The sequence below is a fragment of the Homo sapiens genome, chromosome 8 (assembly GCF_000001405.40).
Source record: "Homo sapiens chromosome 8, GRCh38.p14 Primary Assembly".
NCBI classification, from domain to species: Eukaryota; Metazoa; Chordata; class Mammalia; order Primates; family Hominidae; genus Homo; species Homo sapiens.
In genome coordinates, this window is record NC_000008.11 from 41,830,005 (window position 1) to 41,847,929 (window position 17,925).

The 17,925-nt window shown below is 50.1% G+C and overlaps 1 protein-coding gene and 1 pseudogene across 1 annotated transcript in view, besides 4 other annotated features; both read right to left on the minus strand.

Annotated features, from left to right (window-relative positions):
- The window catches only part of ANK1 (ankyrin 1), a 243,517-nt gene that overhangs the window by 176,780 nt on the left and 48,812 nt on the right, over positions 1-17,925 (minus strand). The window lies entirely within an intron of this gene.
- Positions 3,817-4,547: an enhancer, noted in NCBI's record as "H3K4me1 hESC enhancer chr8:41691339-41692069 (GRCh37/hg19 assembly coordinates)". NCBI's record gives its function as "activates a minimal SCP1, AML or CMV promoter by ChIP-STARR-seq in naive H9 embryonic stem cells {active_cell/tissue: H9 hESC(naive)}" and the evidence as "EXISTENCE:reporter gene assay evidence [ECO:0000049][PMID:30033119]".
- Positions 4,548-5,277: an enhancer, noted in NCBI's record as "H3K4me1 hESC enhancer chr8:41692070-41692799 (GRCh37/hg19 assembly coordinates)". NCBI's record gives its function as "activates a minimal SCP1, AML or CMV promoter by ChIP-STARR-seq in naive H9 embryonic stem cells {active_cell/tissue: H9 hESC(naive)}" and the evidence as "EXISTENCE:reporter gene assay evidence [ECO:0000049][PMID:30033119]".
- On the minus strand, positions 10,055-10,335 carry RN7SL149P (RNA, 7SL, cytoplasmic 149, pseudogene; annotated as a pseudogene).
- Positions 11,591-12,092: an enhancer, noted in NCBI's record as "H3K27ac hESC enhancer chr8:41699113-41699614 (GRCh37/hg19 assembly coordinates)". NCBI's record gives its function as "activates a minimal SCP1, AML or CMV promoter by ChIP-STARR-seq in primed H9 embryonic stem cells {active_cell/tissue: H9 hESC(primed)}" and the evidence as "EXISTENCE:reporter gene assay evidence [ECO:0000049][PMID:30033119]".
- Positions 12,093-12,592: an enhancer, noted in NCBI's record as "H3K27ac hESC enhancer chr8:41699615-41700114 (GRCh37/hg19 assembly coordinates)". NCBI's record gives its function as "activates a minimal SCP1, AML or CMV promoter by ChIP-STARR-seq in primed H9 embryonic stem cells {active_cell/tissue: H9 hESC(primed)}" and the evidence as "EXISTENCE:reporter gene assay evidence [ECO:0000049][PMID:30033119]".

The following is a 17,925-nucleotide window of genomic DNA, read 5'->3' on the forward strand; positions in this document are numbered from 1 at the left end:
TTTGCCTAGATATTCCTCCGATAACATCAATGAAATTTTGCCCAGCACAGAGCAAGTACTAAATAATGATTTGGTGAATCTAATGTTGAGCCTGCAGTAATCCAACTAGAAACACCCACTCAGCCACTCGGGCATACCTTTTATTTGGGCAAGGGGCACTGCAGTTCTCTGGGCAGGGGTCAGCTAGGAGAGACCAATAGATGCCCCCACCCCAGGCTCCTAGACCCATCTCCAGGACCAAACAGCCAAAGCCCCTCTTCTTTTCTTCAAAATACACACATTTCTAGAAATTCTCTGCAAAATACATAGGCTACTAGATAAGCACCCAGTTTCCCTCTGGGGTCATTTGTTCCCGAATGAGGCTTATTAAAAGAGGAAACTATTTTTAAGCTAAATCATCAATCAAAAGTATTCTTCATTCTGGTATATGGCTGCTTTCCACAGATGATAAAATCCCGTCAACTTGATCCAAAGAAAAAATGACCTACATAACAATGACAGCATGAATAACAATTAATCCTCCATTGAAATGTTCAAAAGCTAGAATTGTGGTAAAGCCAAGATTCCCAGGGAGTGTCAGGAACTGCTCTCTTGATTCTAAGCTTGAAGCAGGTAAAGAAAAGGTTGTCTGGGACTAGGGCTTTCGGGGATAGGACCCAAATCCCAAGGCAAAGGGAGTCAGAAGCGAGTAAGAAAAGCAAACAGCTCCTACCTACCCAGTGCCAAAGAAACGCAGACACCAGTTCTGTGTCGGTTCTGCTTGAAAAGGTCTGAGAAGAATAATTTGGTAGATGAATCATTGAAGAATAATTTTGCAGACAGCTCCATCAAGCCAAATGCCCAGCGTGAGGGCTGTGTGTATAATACTGTCATAACCTTTGAAGATAGATTCTGTTCATCAACACGGCTGTTTACATAATCACTTGGTCACCTCACCAAATGGATTAATCTTTTTGGTCACATTCCTTATCAGTGCATGGAGAGGCTAATTGTTGGTGGCCCAATGTGTCCCATAAACGGATCCCATGAGAATAAGCTTGCAGCAACAGATGATGAAGGGAACTGAGATACAGACGAAAGCACAGCGGCCTGGGAGACAGGAGACGAGGCTCCGCCTGGACCTTGACGACGACCTTCCTTAAAACTATGGACTCGTCATCTGACCTCTCAAGGCCTCCATTTCCCCATCTGTAAAACCGAAAGCCCCTCAGCAATCTGGGGCTATCATCTGAAAAGTGTGGGCAGCTGCGGGCGCTCATACCTCAAGCCCCAAGAGTTTCTTCTTCTAACAGTAACATACTTTGCACATGACCCAGCAATCCCACTCCTGGGTATTTACCTGATAAATGAAAACCCATGTTTGCCGGGCATGGTGGCTCATGCATGTAATCCCAGCACTTTGGGAGGCCAAGGTGGGCGGATCACTTGAAGTCAAAAGTTCAAGACCAGCCTGGAAAACATGGTGAAACCCCATCTCTACTAAAACTACAAAAATTGGTGGGGTGTGGAGGCACATGCCTGTAGTTCCAGCTACTCGGGAAACTGAGGCAGAAGGATTGCTTGAACCCAGGAATTGGAGGTTACAAGTGAGCCAAGATTGCGCCATTGCACTCCAGTGCAGAGCAAAAGTCTGTCAAAAAAAAAAAAAAAAGAAGAAGAAAAAGAAAAAAGGAATGAAAGGAAAGAAAAGGAAGGAAGGAAGGAAGGACCATTAAGAAGGTACCTGTACCCAAATTTGCAGAGCAGCTTTATTTTTATTTATCACCGCCCCAGACTGGAGTCAACCCACACGTCCTCAGCGTGTGAATGAATAGACCAACCGCAGCACCTCGTACAGTGGAGTGCTACTAAGGAGCGAATATGGATTCACACAGCAACACGGGTGCATCCCAAAAGCATGCTGCTACACGGATGCAAGGCCTTCGGACTATATGATCCCATTTAGGAGACAATTGGGAAAAGGGAAAATCCAGGGGTGAAGAATAGATCTGTGGTGGCAGGGGTGGGAAAAGCGGGGAGGATTTGCCTACTGAGGGGCAGCACAAGAGAATTTTGCGGGGCGATGGATCTGTCTGTATCTTGACCATAGTGATGATACATGACTGTGCATTTGTCAGAACTCACAGGACTGAATGAAAAGAGAAGTGAATTTTACTGCATGTGAATTGTTAAAATAAATGCTAGACAGTATTTTAAAAATCAAGCCCAGATCCTGCAAGACATTATGGCTCCCCACCAGAAGGGGAGAGACGGGGAAAGAGAAGTGTCCCCAAAGTTAACCCACGTTCCCTGGGACCCACCTCCCTCCCCACTGCCACTTCCCACCAGCCTCACGCACGGGCCAGGCCCTTCCCTTTGCAGCTCACAGCCCAGCAGATGTTAGGTCAGAATGCGTCCCCTCACTTGACTAAAGGTTTACAGCCAGCAGGGTGGAAATGAACCAGATATTAACACCCCCTCCTCCATGCCCTGCCCACCTTCTGGCCAGTACCAGTGAAGCAGAAGCCACTCTCCCACCCCCAGGCTGTCCCAAAGCCCTGAAGACCCAAGAAAGCAGAGCCAAGTGGAGTGACCCTGATACCAGGGCCAGCTGCCCAGTCCCCTGTAGCTGGGGAGGACCCCCTCTTCTTGTGAGGCAGACACTGGGAGTGACCCCTCCCTGCAAGGGAGATTTCTCATCCCCCAGGGTTCCCAGAGGGTTCCCAGAGGAAATACAGGATACCCAATACATTTGAATTTCAGATAAAAAATAAATAACGTTCTGATACAAGTCTGTCCTGTGCAATATTTGTATGTGTTTTTATTTGCTAAATCTGGCAACTCTGTCCCCACCCACAGGGGCATGCCTATGGTCACCACACCAGAAGGTAATCCATTACATCTCAGTAACTGTAGATCCATACACCCAGATAATTTGCTTCTTGGCTCATCTCCTGGGAATTAGAGAACTGGGTCTGTTAGCCAAACTCTCAAGACACCTGCCCCAAAACAACCTGGGGTGCTGAGGAAGGGGCACAAAAGGCAAACAGCATGCCCTCTCCAACTCCCACCCCTACCACAATCTGAGCTTAGAAGCCAGATGTGGGTGGCGTGGGAGGGAAAGGCACACCAGCCTGAGCACCTCTTTCTGAGCAGGCTGTGTGGAGCGAGGCCCCAGGCCCATCCCGGGCCTCCCTCCAGCACCCATCAGACCCTCTCAGAGGACACAGCGATCACCCCTAGAGACCCCTAGATAGACTCTGCACCCAGCCCAGCCTCCCAGGTCTCCCCCAGTCACCCCTGGTGGCCCACAGGGATTTCTTCACCTTCCAAGTGCCCCGTGGTGATAGCAGGTGTCTGGGGGTGGTGAAACCCACGGGTCTGTGCAATGTAGGGAAGGGGGTGGTGCCTCCTTTCTGGGGCTTTTTATTTTGCCATTAACAAAGGAAAAATCTGTCCAGAATTTATATTAAAAGCTCCAGCAGATGCTAAGCAGCTGGTCTCCATCTGCAAGGTTGATGCAACAAGGATAAACGGAAGCGTGGGGATTTAGGTTAGCTTAGACATGGGAAAGGGAGTTGTGAAAAGAAAGAAAGCCGAAGATGGGAATGGTCACCGTACAAGTCTAGGACATCTCCTTGTCCCTGGGTGTCCCAAAGATGGGCTAGAGTTTGCCTGATGAAGGGCCCTATCCATTCATCAGTGAACAGGCAGTTATTAGGCACCACTGTGTTCCGGGCTCTGTGTTGGTGCTGTGGCTGCTAAGATGTGTACAGAACAATCCTGGCACTCAAGGAGGTCGTGTTCTAGGGGACAGCCACCACCACAACGGGGCAAGCATACAGCAGAGTACAGGAATCCTGGAGCGCTGAGGAGCTGCAGGATTGGACTAAGAGCCCCGAGGCCATGCCTGACACTAGTATGAAAGGAAAAGCAGAGGTCAGCCAGGAAGAGGCTGCGGAGGGACGGGGTTTCAGGCAGAGGGCCCTGCGTGGATAAAGGCATGGAGGTGAGAAACCGCTGGAGTACATGGGGAACATGGTGTGGCTTGGGTGTGACATCAGAGGGTGAGAGGGCACCAGATGGAGGCCTAGCATGATCAGCAGGGGGTTTCCCCCTGTCCCAAGCAGCTGGAGGGCTCCCAGCAGGTCAGAGCCACAGGGTCCTCCATGCATTTTGGAAAGGTCACTCCAGCAGGAGGAGGGTGGCTGTTCAGGAGGCTGTCCAGGCTCTGGCTGCCGAGGCCTCCACATAGGCCATGGCCACGGGGCAGAAAGCAGGGGTAGGATTGAGAAAACCTGGAGGCAATGCCAGCAGACTCGGGAGAATAACAGGATGTGGGAGGTGAGGAAGAGGCAGGAGAAGATGAGCTTCAGGTTCCCAACACCAGCAAGCTGGCTAGGAGCAGGCAAATGACGCGGCGCCCATGTCGGAGGCAGCACTGGGGTTTTGTTCTTGCAAACCCCTGGCTCATGCCGAAGACCTGCCTCGGCCGGTCAAACCCCATCCCTAAACCCAGGACACAAGTCACCACAGAGCCTGCCCTGTGGTCTCCAGCCTGGCCTGGCCTCTCCGCAGCGTTTCAGCCACAGTTGCACAGGTGCGGCTGGACCTGGACCTGCTGAGGGAGGTTCTCAGGGTCCGGAGCTGGCCTTAGGTGGTCACCATAGTGAGATCCTGAAGGCTTCGAAGAGGCCACAAGAAGTACAGGAATATAGCCCAGTCTTAGCGGAGGCCATGCAGCAGATGGGGCCCTGGGGAGGGATTCCGGAGCACCTGGTCCCATGCTGGGGCTCAGCATCGCTGTCTGTCCAGGGATGAGCATGCAAAGGCCACATCCTGCTGGGTCTAAGCTCTGGATCCTGTTGAGGACAGAACTCAGCAAATACAGCTCAGTGCTGCCGCCTACTGCTCACCTCTTGCCATTACACACTCAGTGCGGGGATCATCCCCGCTGCCCGGGAGAAGCTGGAGGGGCAGGGTCCTGACCCAGAATGGACATCATCCTGCCCCAGAACGGCTAAAGGACCTCACGAGGCTTCCCTACAACTCACTGTCTGATTTGAAGGCAGCGAGATGGCGCTTAGGAATTAGGTCAGAGCAGCTACAAGGGGCGCAGGCCTAGAAGCAAGCCGGTGTTCTGGCCATTGGAGGGCCGGGGGTCCCTTAGCAGAAGTTAGCAGGTGTAAGCGGGGTAGGTGGCTCATGCCTGTAATCCCAACACTTTGGGACGCTGAGGCAGGTGGATCACCTGAGGTCAGGAGTTCAAGACCAGCCTGACCAAAATGGTGAAACCCGTTTCTACTAAAAATACAAAAATTAGCCAGGCGTGGTGGCGGGTGCCTGTAATTCCAGCTCCTCCAGAGGCTGATGCAGGAGAATCGCTTGAACCCGGGAGGTGGAGGTAGCAGTGAGCTGAGATCGTATTATTGCACTCCAGCCTGGGAGACACAGCGAGACTCCGTCTCAAAAATAAAATAAAATAAAAATTAAATTAAAAAAAAAAGCTAGCAGGCGTATATTCTGCAAAGACCTTCGGGCCGAGGCTGCAGTCACCTTGTTACAGAGGCTTCCGCAGAAAACATCCAGGTTTTGAGGGGGCGAGGGGAGGAGCGGGGAGCAGGGGATGCTGCTGCCAGCAGAGCCCACACTGGCCGCAGGGCTGCTTCTGTGCAGCCTGCACCAAGAATGGTTTTTACATTTTTAAATAGTTGAGAAAAGGATTCAAAGACAGAAGAATAGATGCAACCTAGAACATGTGGTCCTCAGAGTCTGAAATATTTACTATGTGGTCTTTGGCAGAAGTGTGCTGCCTCCCAGCCTACACAATGGCCCAGACATCTGTCACCTGAGATGGTTGTTCAGGGTCAGGCACATTGTCACGGAGAAGCCTGCAGTGTCGCCCCGCCTGGGAGGACCCTCATGCCCAGCACAAGCTCCCAGAGTCTCCCATAGGCCCCACCAGGGAGGGGAGAGGGCAGGGGGAGAGGCAGGGTAGCCGGAAGGACCACGGCTCAGGTCTGATCTGCTGGTCTGCAAGCCTCTCTCTGGGCCGTGTCCAGCACAGATGTTCAGGTCGGGGTGGCGATGCTTCCCCTGGAACTCTCAGGGACGACACAGCTGTCAGAGGCCCCAGCAAGTCACTTCAGCCACTCTGGGAGACTCCAACTAGGCCGGAAGTCCCCCAGAACCCACAGCATCTCACGGGACGTGCCAGAGTGGCCTCCTTCTTGCTGCAGATCCCGTCGCAACAAAATGCTGCCGACTGCTCAGTATTTTCATTCACAACCCAAAGAAAAAACACCCCTCCATGCTTGCTGTTTGAGGGGAGAGGAAGTCATTCGTCACATACATTCATTGAGCAAGGTTTCCATTCTCCAGAGATTTCTTGCTCTGTCTCCTGTCTGCAATAGCAGGGACCATGTGACTAGAGAGGAGGAACTCATTGTGGCTGCAGGCACCCTGCTGTGAGCACAGCCGTGCTGGGCCCTTCCTTGACACCGCCCAGCAATGTGGCCGGGCTCCCGGTCCCCCTCCCCTGAGGTGGTGGTGGGCTCCTAGACCAAGTTCCATTCTTCAGTGCCCTGGCTTCCAACCGGCGAAAACTCAGCCCGGGCTAAGGACCATGAGGGCAGGGGCCTCTCAAAAGGAGGGTAAGAGGTGGATGCAGTGGCTCACACCTGTAATTGCTGTGCTTTAGTAGGCTTTGCTTGGGGCCAGGAGTTCAACACCAGCCTGGGCAACATAGTGAGACTCCTGTCTCTATAAAAAAAAAATTTTGTTTTAATTAGCCAGGCATAGTGGCACACACCTGTAATCCCAGCCACTCAAGAGGCTGAGGCAGGAGGATCACTTGAGCCCAGGAGTGGAAGGCTGCAGTGAGCTATGATTGCACCACTGCACTCCAGCCTGGGCAACAGAGTAAGAAGCTATCTCTGGGGAAAAAAAAAAAAAAAACAAAAGGAGGGTAAGAGGTTTCCAAGGCATTGCGCAGAGCATGGGCCTGGGGTCCTGGTCTGTGGTCAGCAGTTGTGTGACGTCCCCCCAAGGGCAATGAGCATTGGTTAAATGAGATAAAACCAGCAAAACGTCCATTGAGAGAAGATCCTCAATAAATGTGTCTTTCCCGTACATTTCCTTAACTGGTAAAATGGAGATAATATCATCAACCCCTTTCTCACAGAGTAATTTTAAGTCTCAGGTGAGACAAAGAATGCAGGAGAGCTTTATAGCTATAATCTCTATAGTCACACCTTCATCCAGCACTTACTAGGTGCCACTCACAAACTCAGTTCCGGGACAAAAGTGAACAAAGACAGAAGCAGTCCCTGCCCTGGTGTACATTTCAGTCTACTTTTCATAACGAAAGATGGTGTGTTTTTTATTACTTGCGCTGTGGTCCTTTTGCTCAGGAGTTGGGGGGGAAACACACTGACACATGGGCTTCCTAGTCCACCATTAGTGACCTCCTGATCCAAGGATGGTTATTTGAACATTCATTTCTCCACCTGTCAAATGGGATATTTGCGAAAATTAAATGAAATAATATGTATGAATACATTTAGCCAGTCCATGCACATGGTAGAGCTTAAAAAGTGTTGATTTAGGCCAGGCATGGTGGCTCACGCCTGTAATCCCAGCACTTTGGGAGGCTGAGGTGGGTGGATCACTTGAGGTCAGGAGTTTGAGACCAGCGTGGACAACATGGTGAAACCCCATGTCTACTAAAATACAAAAATCAGCAGGGTGTGGTGGCAGGCACCTGTAATCCCAGCTACTCAGGAGGCTGAGGCAGGAGAATCACTTGAACCCAGGAGGCAGAGGTTGCAGTGAGCTGAGATCACACCATTGCACTACAGCCTGGGCAACAGAGCGAGACGCATCTCAAAAAAAAAAATGTTAATTTAATGGGATGACACCTGGTGAACACCGTAAGCTCATTCACCTGAATGGCCAAGGCTGCAGGGCAGGCTCTGGCCACCTGAGTTTTAGAGGAGGGGTAACTGGACCTCAGACATCACCTCCTCCACACACCCATCTTCTCCTGCCATTTGTGGTCCCTCCCTGGCCCCCTCACCAGTGCCTACAAAGACAGTGCTCACAGACATGTTAATAACATAAATTGCCACTGTTTATTGAGCATTTTACATGCTCCAGACACCCATCCCCTCACTTTATCCTCACACTGAGGATACTGGAGGTACTATTGTTATCCTTTTTTACAGATGGGGAAAGCGGGGCACAGAAAGGTTTGGTGAATTGCCCAAGATCACACAGCTGGTGTGAGGGTGGCCAGGATTTGAAGGCTAGTCCATCTGAGGACATCTGAAGTTAATGGTTTCCACGCTGTAGGACCTGAATAACCTGGATGGCCAGGAGCCCAGGGTATTTGTAAAACATGCTCTACTAGTAAAGCTAACATTTATTAATAGTAAGCACTTACCGTGTGCCCCAGACTGCTGTATTATGTTTTAAAGTGATTGTTAAAGATGTAACAATGGGCTGGGCATGGTGGCTCACGTCTGTAATTGCAGCACTTTGGGAGGCCGAGGCCGGCGGATCACCTGAGGTCAGGAGTTGGAGACCAGCCTGGCCAACATGGTGAAACCCCGTCTCTAGTAAAAATACAAAAATTAGCCAGGTGCGGTGGTGCGTGCCTGTAATCCCAGCTACTCAGGAGGCTGGGCAGGAGAATCGCTTGAACCCGGGAGGCAGAGGCTGCGGTGAGCCTGGATCGTACCATTGCACTCCAGCCTGGGGGACAAAGCAAGACTCCGTCTCAAAAATAATAATAATAATAATAATAATAAAGGCCGGGCGCGGTGGCTCATGCCCATAATCCTAACACTTTGGGAGGCCAAGGTGGGAGGATCACCTGAGGTCAGGAGTTCAAGACCAGCCTGGCCAACATGGTGAAACCCTGCCTCTACTAAAAGTACAAAAATTAGTACGGCATGATGGTGCATGCCTGTAATCTCAGCTACTTGGGAGGCTGAGGCAGGAGAATCACTTGAACCCAGAAGGTGGAGGTTGCAGTGAGCCGAGATGGCACCACTGCACTCCAGCCTGGGTGACAGAGTGAGACTCCTTCTCAAAAAATAAATAAATAAATAAAGATGCAACAATGACTGTACCACCTGCACCAGTTAGTAGCCATGCTGCAGAAAGAGAAATTCACCTGTCTCCTCCATGTGTCAGTAACTTCCAGTTAAAACTGGTGCTTTTATATAATAATGATGGGAGCTAGGTAGATAGTACTGACCCTGTGCCAGGCATGATCTGAGGACTCTGCATGCATTAACTAAGATGGGACCAACTGTTATCCTTACTTCATCTGAGATAAGGAAACCCAGTCACTTAGCCAGGTTCCCTGGCTGTTGGTGGCAGATCTGGGATATAAACCCACTCTCCGCCCACTCATTACACCTGCCTAAGCTGCAGTGGGCTCAGAGGCCATTGTGAAGCAGACACAGCAGACCCTTTTGTCCTCAGAAAACTGTGAAACAGTGTTTAGCAGGAAACAGGCTTGGCCTCCCCGAGGCCCTAGAGATGATTTTCATATCTTTGGAAGGCACATATCGGTGGGATAAAAATTCCTTTGCAGAAACATTGCCCAGGAAAGTGTATTCAGCCCCAAATCCTCACCCACTGTGGGACTTCATCCGCTTCACCAATGACTTATGACAACCACCTCAGCCAAAATGACATTCCAGAAAACAAGGGGTCATCTGTCAAGGTGGCCAAAGACAAGGAAAATCTGAGACACCGTCACAGCCAAAAGGAACCTAAAGAGGCATGACAACTAAATGTCATGTGGCATCCTGGATGGGACCCTAGGACAGCAAAAGGACATGAGGAAAAATATAAGGAAATCCGAATAATGTATGGACGTCTAGTTAATAAAACTGTATCAACACTGGTTCATTCATTACAACAAATGAAGCATACTCATGGAAGATGTTACCAATAGAGAAACTGTGCATGGGGCTTATGGGAGCTCTCTGTACAAGCTTTGCAATTTTTCTATAGATTTAAACTTGTTTTTTTTTTCTTTTAAAATTATTTTTATTTTTTAAGGAGATAGGGTCTCACTACATTGCCCAGGCTGGAGCGCAGTGGCTATTCACAAGCACGATCCCACTACCGATCAGCACAGGAGTTTTGACCTGCTCCATTTCCAACCCAGGTTGGTTCACCCCTCTTTAGGCAACGTGCTGGTCCCCCACTCCCGGGATGTCACCATATTGATGCTGAACTTAGTGTGGGCATCTGATTGACATAGCGCACTAAAGCCCAGTTCTCCTGCACTCAAGCGATCCTCTCACCTCAGCCTCCCAAGTAACTGGGACTAAAGGCACACTCTTTAAAAATACAATGTGTTATAAAAAATATATACTCATTAATGATACTACTTAATTTTGTACCTACCTCTTTTTTTCACATTTCTGTTAGTCTTAGCTCTGACTGCTATAACAAAATACCATAGACCTGATGGCTTAGACAACAAACCTTTATTCCTCACAGTTCAGGGGGATGGACGTCAGAGGTCCAGGTGCCAGCAGATTTGGTTCCGGGTGAGGGCTGTCGCCCTGGCTTGCGGGCAGCTGGCTTCTCTCTGTGTCCTCACACTACTGAGAGGGGAAGCTCTGGTGTCTCTTCGTCTTCTAAGAAGTCCCATCACGGGAGCTCTACCCTCATGGCTCAATTACCTCCCAAAGGTGGGGTCTCCAAAGACCGCCACACTGGGAACTAGAGCTTCAATGTATGGATTGGGAGCAGGGACCCAAACACGCAACCCATAATACAACTGAATTCCATAAGAGTATATCAACGCCAAGAAAAGAGTGGCCCGCTTGAAACGTCGGTAATCCTTCCTTTCACCTCATGCCTGTTAGGATGGCCATATTGAAACAAACAAGGAGTGCTGGCCAGGTCATGGAGAAATCTGAAGACTTATCCACTGATGGGGAATGAGAAATGGTGTCGCTGCTACAGAGAACAGTGTGGAGGGTCTTTCAGCAATTACTGCGAATCTACCGTGTAACCCATCATCAGTCCCACTTCTGAGTATTCATCGAAAGAACAAAAATCAGAATTTCCAGGAGACACCTGCAGCCCCACATTCACTGCGGCAGTATTCACCGCAGCCAAGACATGGAAACAGCCCACATGTCCAATGTAAATGAATGGATTGAGAAAATATGGTCTATCCATACCACAGAATATTATTCAGCCTTGAAAATGAGGGAAATCCTACTGGGAACTTGGAGGACATTACACTTAGTGAAATAAGCCAGGCCTACAGGAACAAGTGCTGCATGATTCCACTTAAACGGGGAACTAAAATAGTCAAACCCATAAAAGCAGAGACTAGAATGGTGGTTGCCAGGGGCTGAGTGAGGGAGAGCTGGGGATTTGCTGCTCAATGGGCGTAAGTTTCCACTATGCAAGATGAATGAGTTCCAGCTATCCACTGTACAACATGCTACCTACAGTAAACAATACCGCACCAAGCACTGAAGCATTTGTTGGGAGGATGACTCCCCGGCTAAGTGTTCTTACCACAAAAGCAGACAAACAAACAAAAAACAGTGGCATACAAGGACACCTTTGGAAGTGATGGATGTATCTATTACCATGATGATAATGATGGTTTCACAGGTGTGTGCAGATGTCCAAACTCATCAAATGTATACATCCAATACACACAGGGGTTTTTTTTTGTATATCAATTACATATCAATAAAACTGTAAAAAAGGAAAAGGAAAAAAATGACCCTTTCCGCCACACATCAAGACGGCTGCCCCTCTCTCTATTTCCTCCTCAAAGGGTAAACCCGGAGACATGGTCCTAACTGGTAACCACCTGTGGCCAGGACCCTGAGGCACCTCCTGGGGCAGAGAAGCAGCTCATGTCACCTGCCGTGGGGACTCCCCCAGCCAGTGCAGCTCTATCCTGCTGTTGCTCCTGTTGCTGGAGTGACAGTGGCATCGTGTGTTCAAACCCACACACTTATCTGGACAAGGATGAGAGAAGCCAGGGCAGCCTCTGTGGTAGGAGCGGCTGTAGAGACACCTTGGCTGGAAGCAAGAAGGCACTGCTCTGACTGTGACCCAGGCCACCCCAAGGGAGGCAGCACCCCAGGAGGCACCAGGGTGGACAGGGCAGGAAGTAAAGCGTTGCTCCCTGACCAGTGCTGTGGCTTTCGAGTAAAGATCTGGAATGAGGCCAGGCGCAGTGGCTCACGCCTATAATCCCAGCACTTTGGGAGGCCAAGGTGGGCACATCATGAGGTCAGGAGTTCCAGACCAGCCTGGCCAACATAGTGAAACCCCCGTCTCTACTAAAAATACAAAAAATTAGCTGGGCGTGGTGGTGGGCGCCTATAATCCCAGCTACTTGGGAGGCTGAGGCAGGAGAATCACTTGAACCCAGGAGGCGGAGGTTGCAGTGAGCCAAGATCACGCCACTGCCCTCCAGCCCAGGCAACAGAGCGAGACTCTATCTCAAAAAAAAAAAAAAATTTTTGGAATGAAGCCCTGGCTCTGCCTTTTCTTAGCACAAGCAACCATGGGCGAACCACATATCCCTGTAAGCCTCAGTTTCTTCATCTGTGAGATGGAGACTCTAAGAGCGCCTGCCTTGCGTCATTGTGGTGGAGGTTACAGGAAGCGCATATTAGTGCAGATGTGGAGGGGCCTCCCGGGGAATTAAACACAGAAACAGTTAAGGCAGCTTTGTTTGGGACTGGGGCTGGGCATTGGAAGGCGTGGATTTGGGGAGTGCTGCTTTCACTGAACTGTGTGAATCTATTATTTAGATTATTTAGATAAAATTACTGAACACATTTTTGGGGGGTTGTTCATTTGTTTGTTTGTTTTGAGACGGATCTCCTTCTGTCGCCCAGGCTGGAGTACAGTGGCATGATCTCCGCTCACTGCAACCTCAGCCTCCCAGGTTCAAGCGATTCTCCTGCCTCAGCCTCCTGAGTAGCTGGGATTAAAGGTGTGCACAAACCACACCCAGCTAATTTTTGTATTTTTAATAGAGACAGAGTTTCACCACATTGGCCAGGCTGGTCTTGAACTCTTGACCTCAGGTGATCCGCCCGCCTCGGCTTCCCAAAGTGCTGGGATTACAGGCATGAGCCACCGCGCCCAGCCAATGTTCATATATTTTAACAAAGTATGCTTACATTGCCTTAAATTTTTTATTTGTGCAAATTCATGCGGTACGTGAGAGATTTTGTTACACGTATATAATGTGTAGTGATCAAGTCAAGGTATTCCTGTGTCCATCACCCAAGTATAATACATTGTTGTGAAGTATAGTCACCCTGCTCTGCGATCAGACATTGAATCTGCTCCATCTTACTGTGCACTTGTACCCTTTCACCCACTTCTCTTCATTTCCCCCCCACCCACTCCCCGCCCACCCCACACTCCTCCCAGTCTCTGTTATCTCTTTCTGAATGCGTGTTTAAAGGGGGGGCCCTGCAGCAATGCTCTCAGCCCTGGTCCAGCACATACAGCAGGCACATGGTCCATGGTGCAGACAGGGCAGCTGGGGCGATCAGAAGATTCATTCCGCTGCTGGAGGCCTCCTCAGGCCTTCCTGGAAAGGCCAAACAGATAGCGGTGATAGGAATCTAGAAAAATCTCATGAGAGGGACTGGCAGACACTAACTTGTTCACCAAACCCCACAATGCCAGATCTCTCCGCTCTCTCTGCCAGAGAGCAGCTCTCTTCTTCAAGGCGATTTTAGGACAAATTTGCAGCAGCTTATACATGTACGGATCTTGTTAACTCAAGATACGTATGATGCAGGCAGGAATCAGAGAGAGACAGGTCGGGAAGGGTCTCCATAAATCTCATGCCATGAAATCACACATTTGTCACTGAGGGAAGCCAAGGAGGTCTTGCTCTGTCACCCAGGCTAAAGTGCAGTGGTGCAATCATGGCTCACTGCAGTCTCCAACTCCTGGGCTCAAGTGGTCCTCCTGCTTCAGCCTCCCCAGTAGCTGGGACTATAGGCATGCATCACCACACCCAGCTACTTTTGTATTTTTATAGGGATGGGGTCTTACTATGTTGTCCAGGCTGGTCTTGAACTCCTGGCCTCAAGCAATCCTCCCACCTCGGCTTCCCAAAGTGTTGGGATTACAAGCGTGAGCCACTTCACCTGGCCTGTCCCTGCCTTTTGAGAGGAGGGCATCTGTGCCCTGCCCTGGTCCAGCTCCTCACCTTGGCAGATCTTGGTATCCCCTCGGGGAAGTCTATAGATGAACCATGGGTGCGACCTGGTCCAATAAGGACAGTCAGAAAAAGCTATATTGGAGGTGTTGGCGAATGGGTAGATCCAGGTCAGAAAAGTGGGCAGATGGGAACAGAGACCCTCTGTACCTCTCGGCCCAGGACAAACAAGTAGAGAGGACACCCTCCCCAACCTCCATCGCCTGAGCCCCAGCCTCCCCACCCAGCCATACACAACAGGCACACACCCCTCCCCGCAACTGATGCACCCACCACACACCCCCCACACACACACTGCCACAGGGGGGCGGGCAGCACAGGAGCTGCGGTCAAAGCCTCGGGGCCCCAGCCCTGCCACCTGTCTCTAACACGATCTCGGGCATGCCCCAGAATCTCCCTGAGCCTAGGCTTCCACAGCTCTGAGTACGGCTCTGCCTCCAAAGAGACGTGGTAATGAACAAATAGGAATAAAAAGTCTCTAAAGAGCTTTGTAAACTGCAAATCAGCTTATCAATGTAAGCTGTTTTTGTTCTTAATGAAATGGTCCTTTCAGCATTGGACCCCAGAAGATGTGATGTCTTGGTCCAAGGAAGTTAGAAGGGGGTGAGTGAGAGACAGCCAGAGGGAAGAAGAGCTGGGAGAGGAAGACAGATGAGCAGGAGCCCGCCTCCTGTCCCCGGGATGCGCTTTCTGGACCTGCTGCACACCCACTGGTCAGAGATGGAATCTGCACCAGCCCCAGGATTGCAACGCGGAAAAGCTGCCTCTACTCAGCAGATAGACCAAGTTCCTGTTTGTTTTGAAAGAGACACTACTCCTGAAAGCAACTGGTAGCCAATCATGTCACACAAAGACGTGAATTCCAGGCCAGGCGCAGTGACTCACGCCTGTAATCCTAGCACTTTGGGAGGCCGAGGCAGGCGGATTGCCTGAGCTCAGGAGTTCGAGACCATCCTGTCCAACATGGTGAAACCCCGTCTCTACAAAAATACAAAAAATTAGCCGGGCATGGTGGCGTGTGCCTGTAGACCCAGCTACTGGGGAGGCTGAGGCAGGGGAATTGCTTAAACCCACCTGGGAGGCAGAGGTTGTAGTTTGCCAAGATCACACCACTGCACTCCAGCCTGGGTGACAGAGCAAGACTCCATCCCAAAAAAAAAAAGAAAAAAAAAAGATGTGAATTCCTGAACCAATCGACTGGCGATTTCTGCTTGTATTCTCTTTTCATTTCTCCTGCTTGCAGTGGTCTCGCGGGGCACAGTGGGGTCTCCCCTCAAGGAGGCCAATGGGACTGACCATGGTGTGGTGCGTGCCTTTGGGGAGAAGAGTCTGGGGCTTGGGGGGGTCTGGATCATGAAACAGTGACTCACTCCCTTCCTGCTGCAGTTGCACCCACTCTGTTAGTGAAGAAGGGAGAAATGATTAACTAACTCTAGGATCCTGGCTCATTTGCATAAACGTGCATAAATTATGTCTCCTCACGAAATGATCTGAGCATGAGTAAAAGCAAATGGGAATGTGTTTTTCTGTTCCCCTTCTCCATCTGTTTTTCTCCTTCCCCTCCTGCTACTTCCATAAACATACCAAAACCGTTTTCAGCTTCCCATGCGGAAAGTACATGCGGGTGCATGTTTTACACAGGGATTTGCAGAATGTTGATATATCAGGGTCACCAAAAGTCCTGCTTTCTTCCATCTTTTTCCCCCTACCTTCTCTCCATATTCATTTCTACCATTTTCTCTGCAAAATAGAAGTTTCAGATTTCAGTGTTCAGCATGCATGGAAGCTGATAATTCTTGAGCTAACAGGGCACAATGATGGACCAGCCAGGAGGCTCCATAAACTGAGGGATGCTGGCTGCCTGCACTGCACTGTGTCTCCAGGGTCTATGATTGGACAAACAAGACGCCTCTGGCCATTTTATGGGGGACAAAGCAGGCCTGAGTATGACTGTGGTGTGGCTGGATTTACAAAGCTTATTACAGACTAAGACGAACTGCTGAGCACAGTCCAGGGTCCTGCCGCAAAGCCCAGAGCTCTCTCCAGCAGCCCACACTGCCCATTATGCTGGCAACTAGCTGAATGGGCAGATTCACCTATGTGCCCTTAAAGGCCCTTTCCAGCCATATTCACCCACAGAACAGAGCACCAGATGAGCCGGGCCTGGAGCTACGATGGCAGAGCTCTGCCAAGGCCCGTGTGGGCTGCAGCTCGTGCAGACGTGTGTCACCTGCCCCATCTGAGCTGACTCCTGAAGGCAGGCAACTCTGAAGGCTCGCAGGGGCTGGCATTTGTCCCAGGAACAGGGGCCAAGGGGAAATTGCTTCTTAATTACTGCTTACAGTGCAAGTTTTTGCTTTGGCTTGGGCAATAGCCAATCCCCCAAAACACATTGAGTCTCTTATCAGCCTGCAGTTAATTGATCCTGGGAATTGATCCGTGCCTTATCCATGGATTCTATTGTAACTAGAGAAGCTGCAGCAACCACCCCTGGCCACAGGCTGTTCTCACAGCTGGAGGATACCCTACGGCCCTCATCTGGACCCCTTTTTCCCACACCCTCCCACCCTGCTCTGCAGATGGTCTGCAGCCAGGCCCTCCTCATTAGGAGCCTCAAGCACACAGTCCACCCTACCTGGTCTGTTCCACATGGCCCGGGAGCCTGAAGAAAGCTCAGCTCCAGCTCACAACCCGAACACCTCGGCCTGCCACTCCCTGCAACGTTCACAGAGTACCATTACCATCGCCTCTCATGGGGTTTTCACACACAGCCCTTGAGGCCAGAAACAAAAGCAAAACAATGTGACTTTCTCACCTTCCAGTGAAGAAACTGAGATTTAGGCCGCAGAACAGAATCACAAACTCAGAACCCCGACAGCAAATAAAGTAGGGTAATTTAATATATCTAGCACTGACAACAAATGACCCCAAAATCTCAGTGGCTTAACACTAGGAGTTCACCTCTTGCTCATATCAGTCTAATGTGAACCAGCTGGCTTTCCAGGCGGCTGTTGTCCAAGTGGACACTTAGGGATGACACCTTCAGCTCTAAGGTTTACCTGGGGAGGTGAAAGCGAGGAAGACGGTGCAGGTGGATTTATGGCCGGGCCTGAAATAACACACATCTTGTCTGCACACATTTCACTGGCCAGAATCAGTCACATGATTGCTGACTGCAAAGGAGGCCGGGGAAAACGGTCTTCACAGGGGACCAGGAGAGGAAAACGCAGGTAAGCATCCACGAGCTGCTACGGAGGTGATAATGACACTGACTTTTATTGATGGAATTCTGTAAGCCAAGTATTGTGACAGGAGCTATATAAGCATCACCTCATTCAATCCCCAAGACAGCTCGTGAAAGATTACTCATCTTCATTTTACACATGCAGAGATTCAGAGATCCAGCAACCTGACTCTAAGTTCCTGCTCTAACGTAGGAATATAGTCTTCTTGTGCAAAATTAAGACATTACAGAGCGGCATTCTTGGCCACCGTGCCTTTTATCCCAGATTCCCCACATACGCACCCAAATTCACCAGAGCTGGCAGTGTGATGTGTGTCCTGAATCTGTTTGTATGTGCATTTAAAATGCATGTACTCATATGATTATCTGATAGATTTATCATTTTCTTTAAAAAATAGAACTGTGGGCCAGGCGCAGTGGCTCACACCTATAATCCCAGCACTTTGGG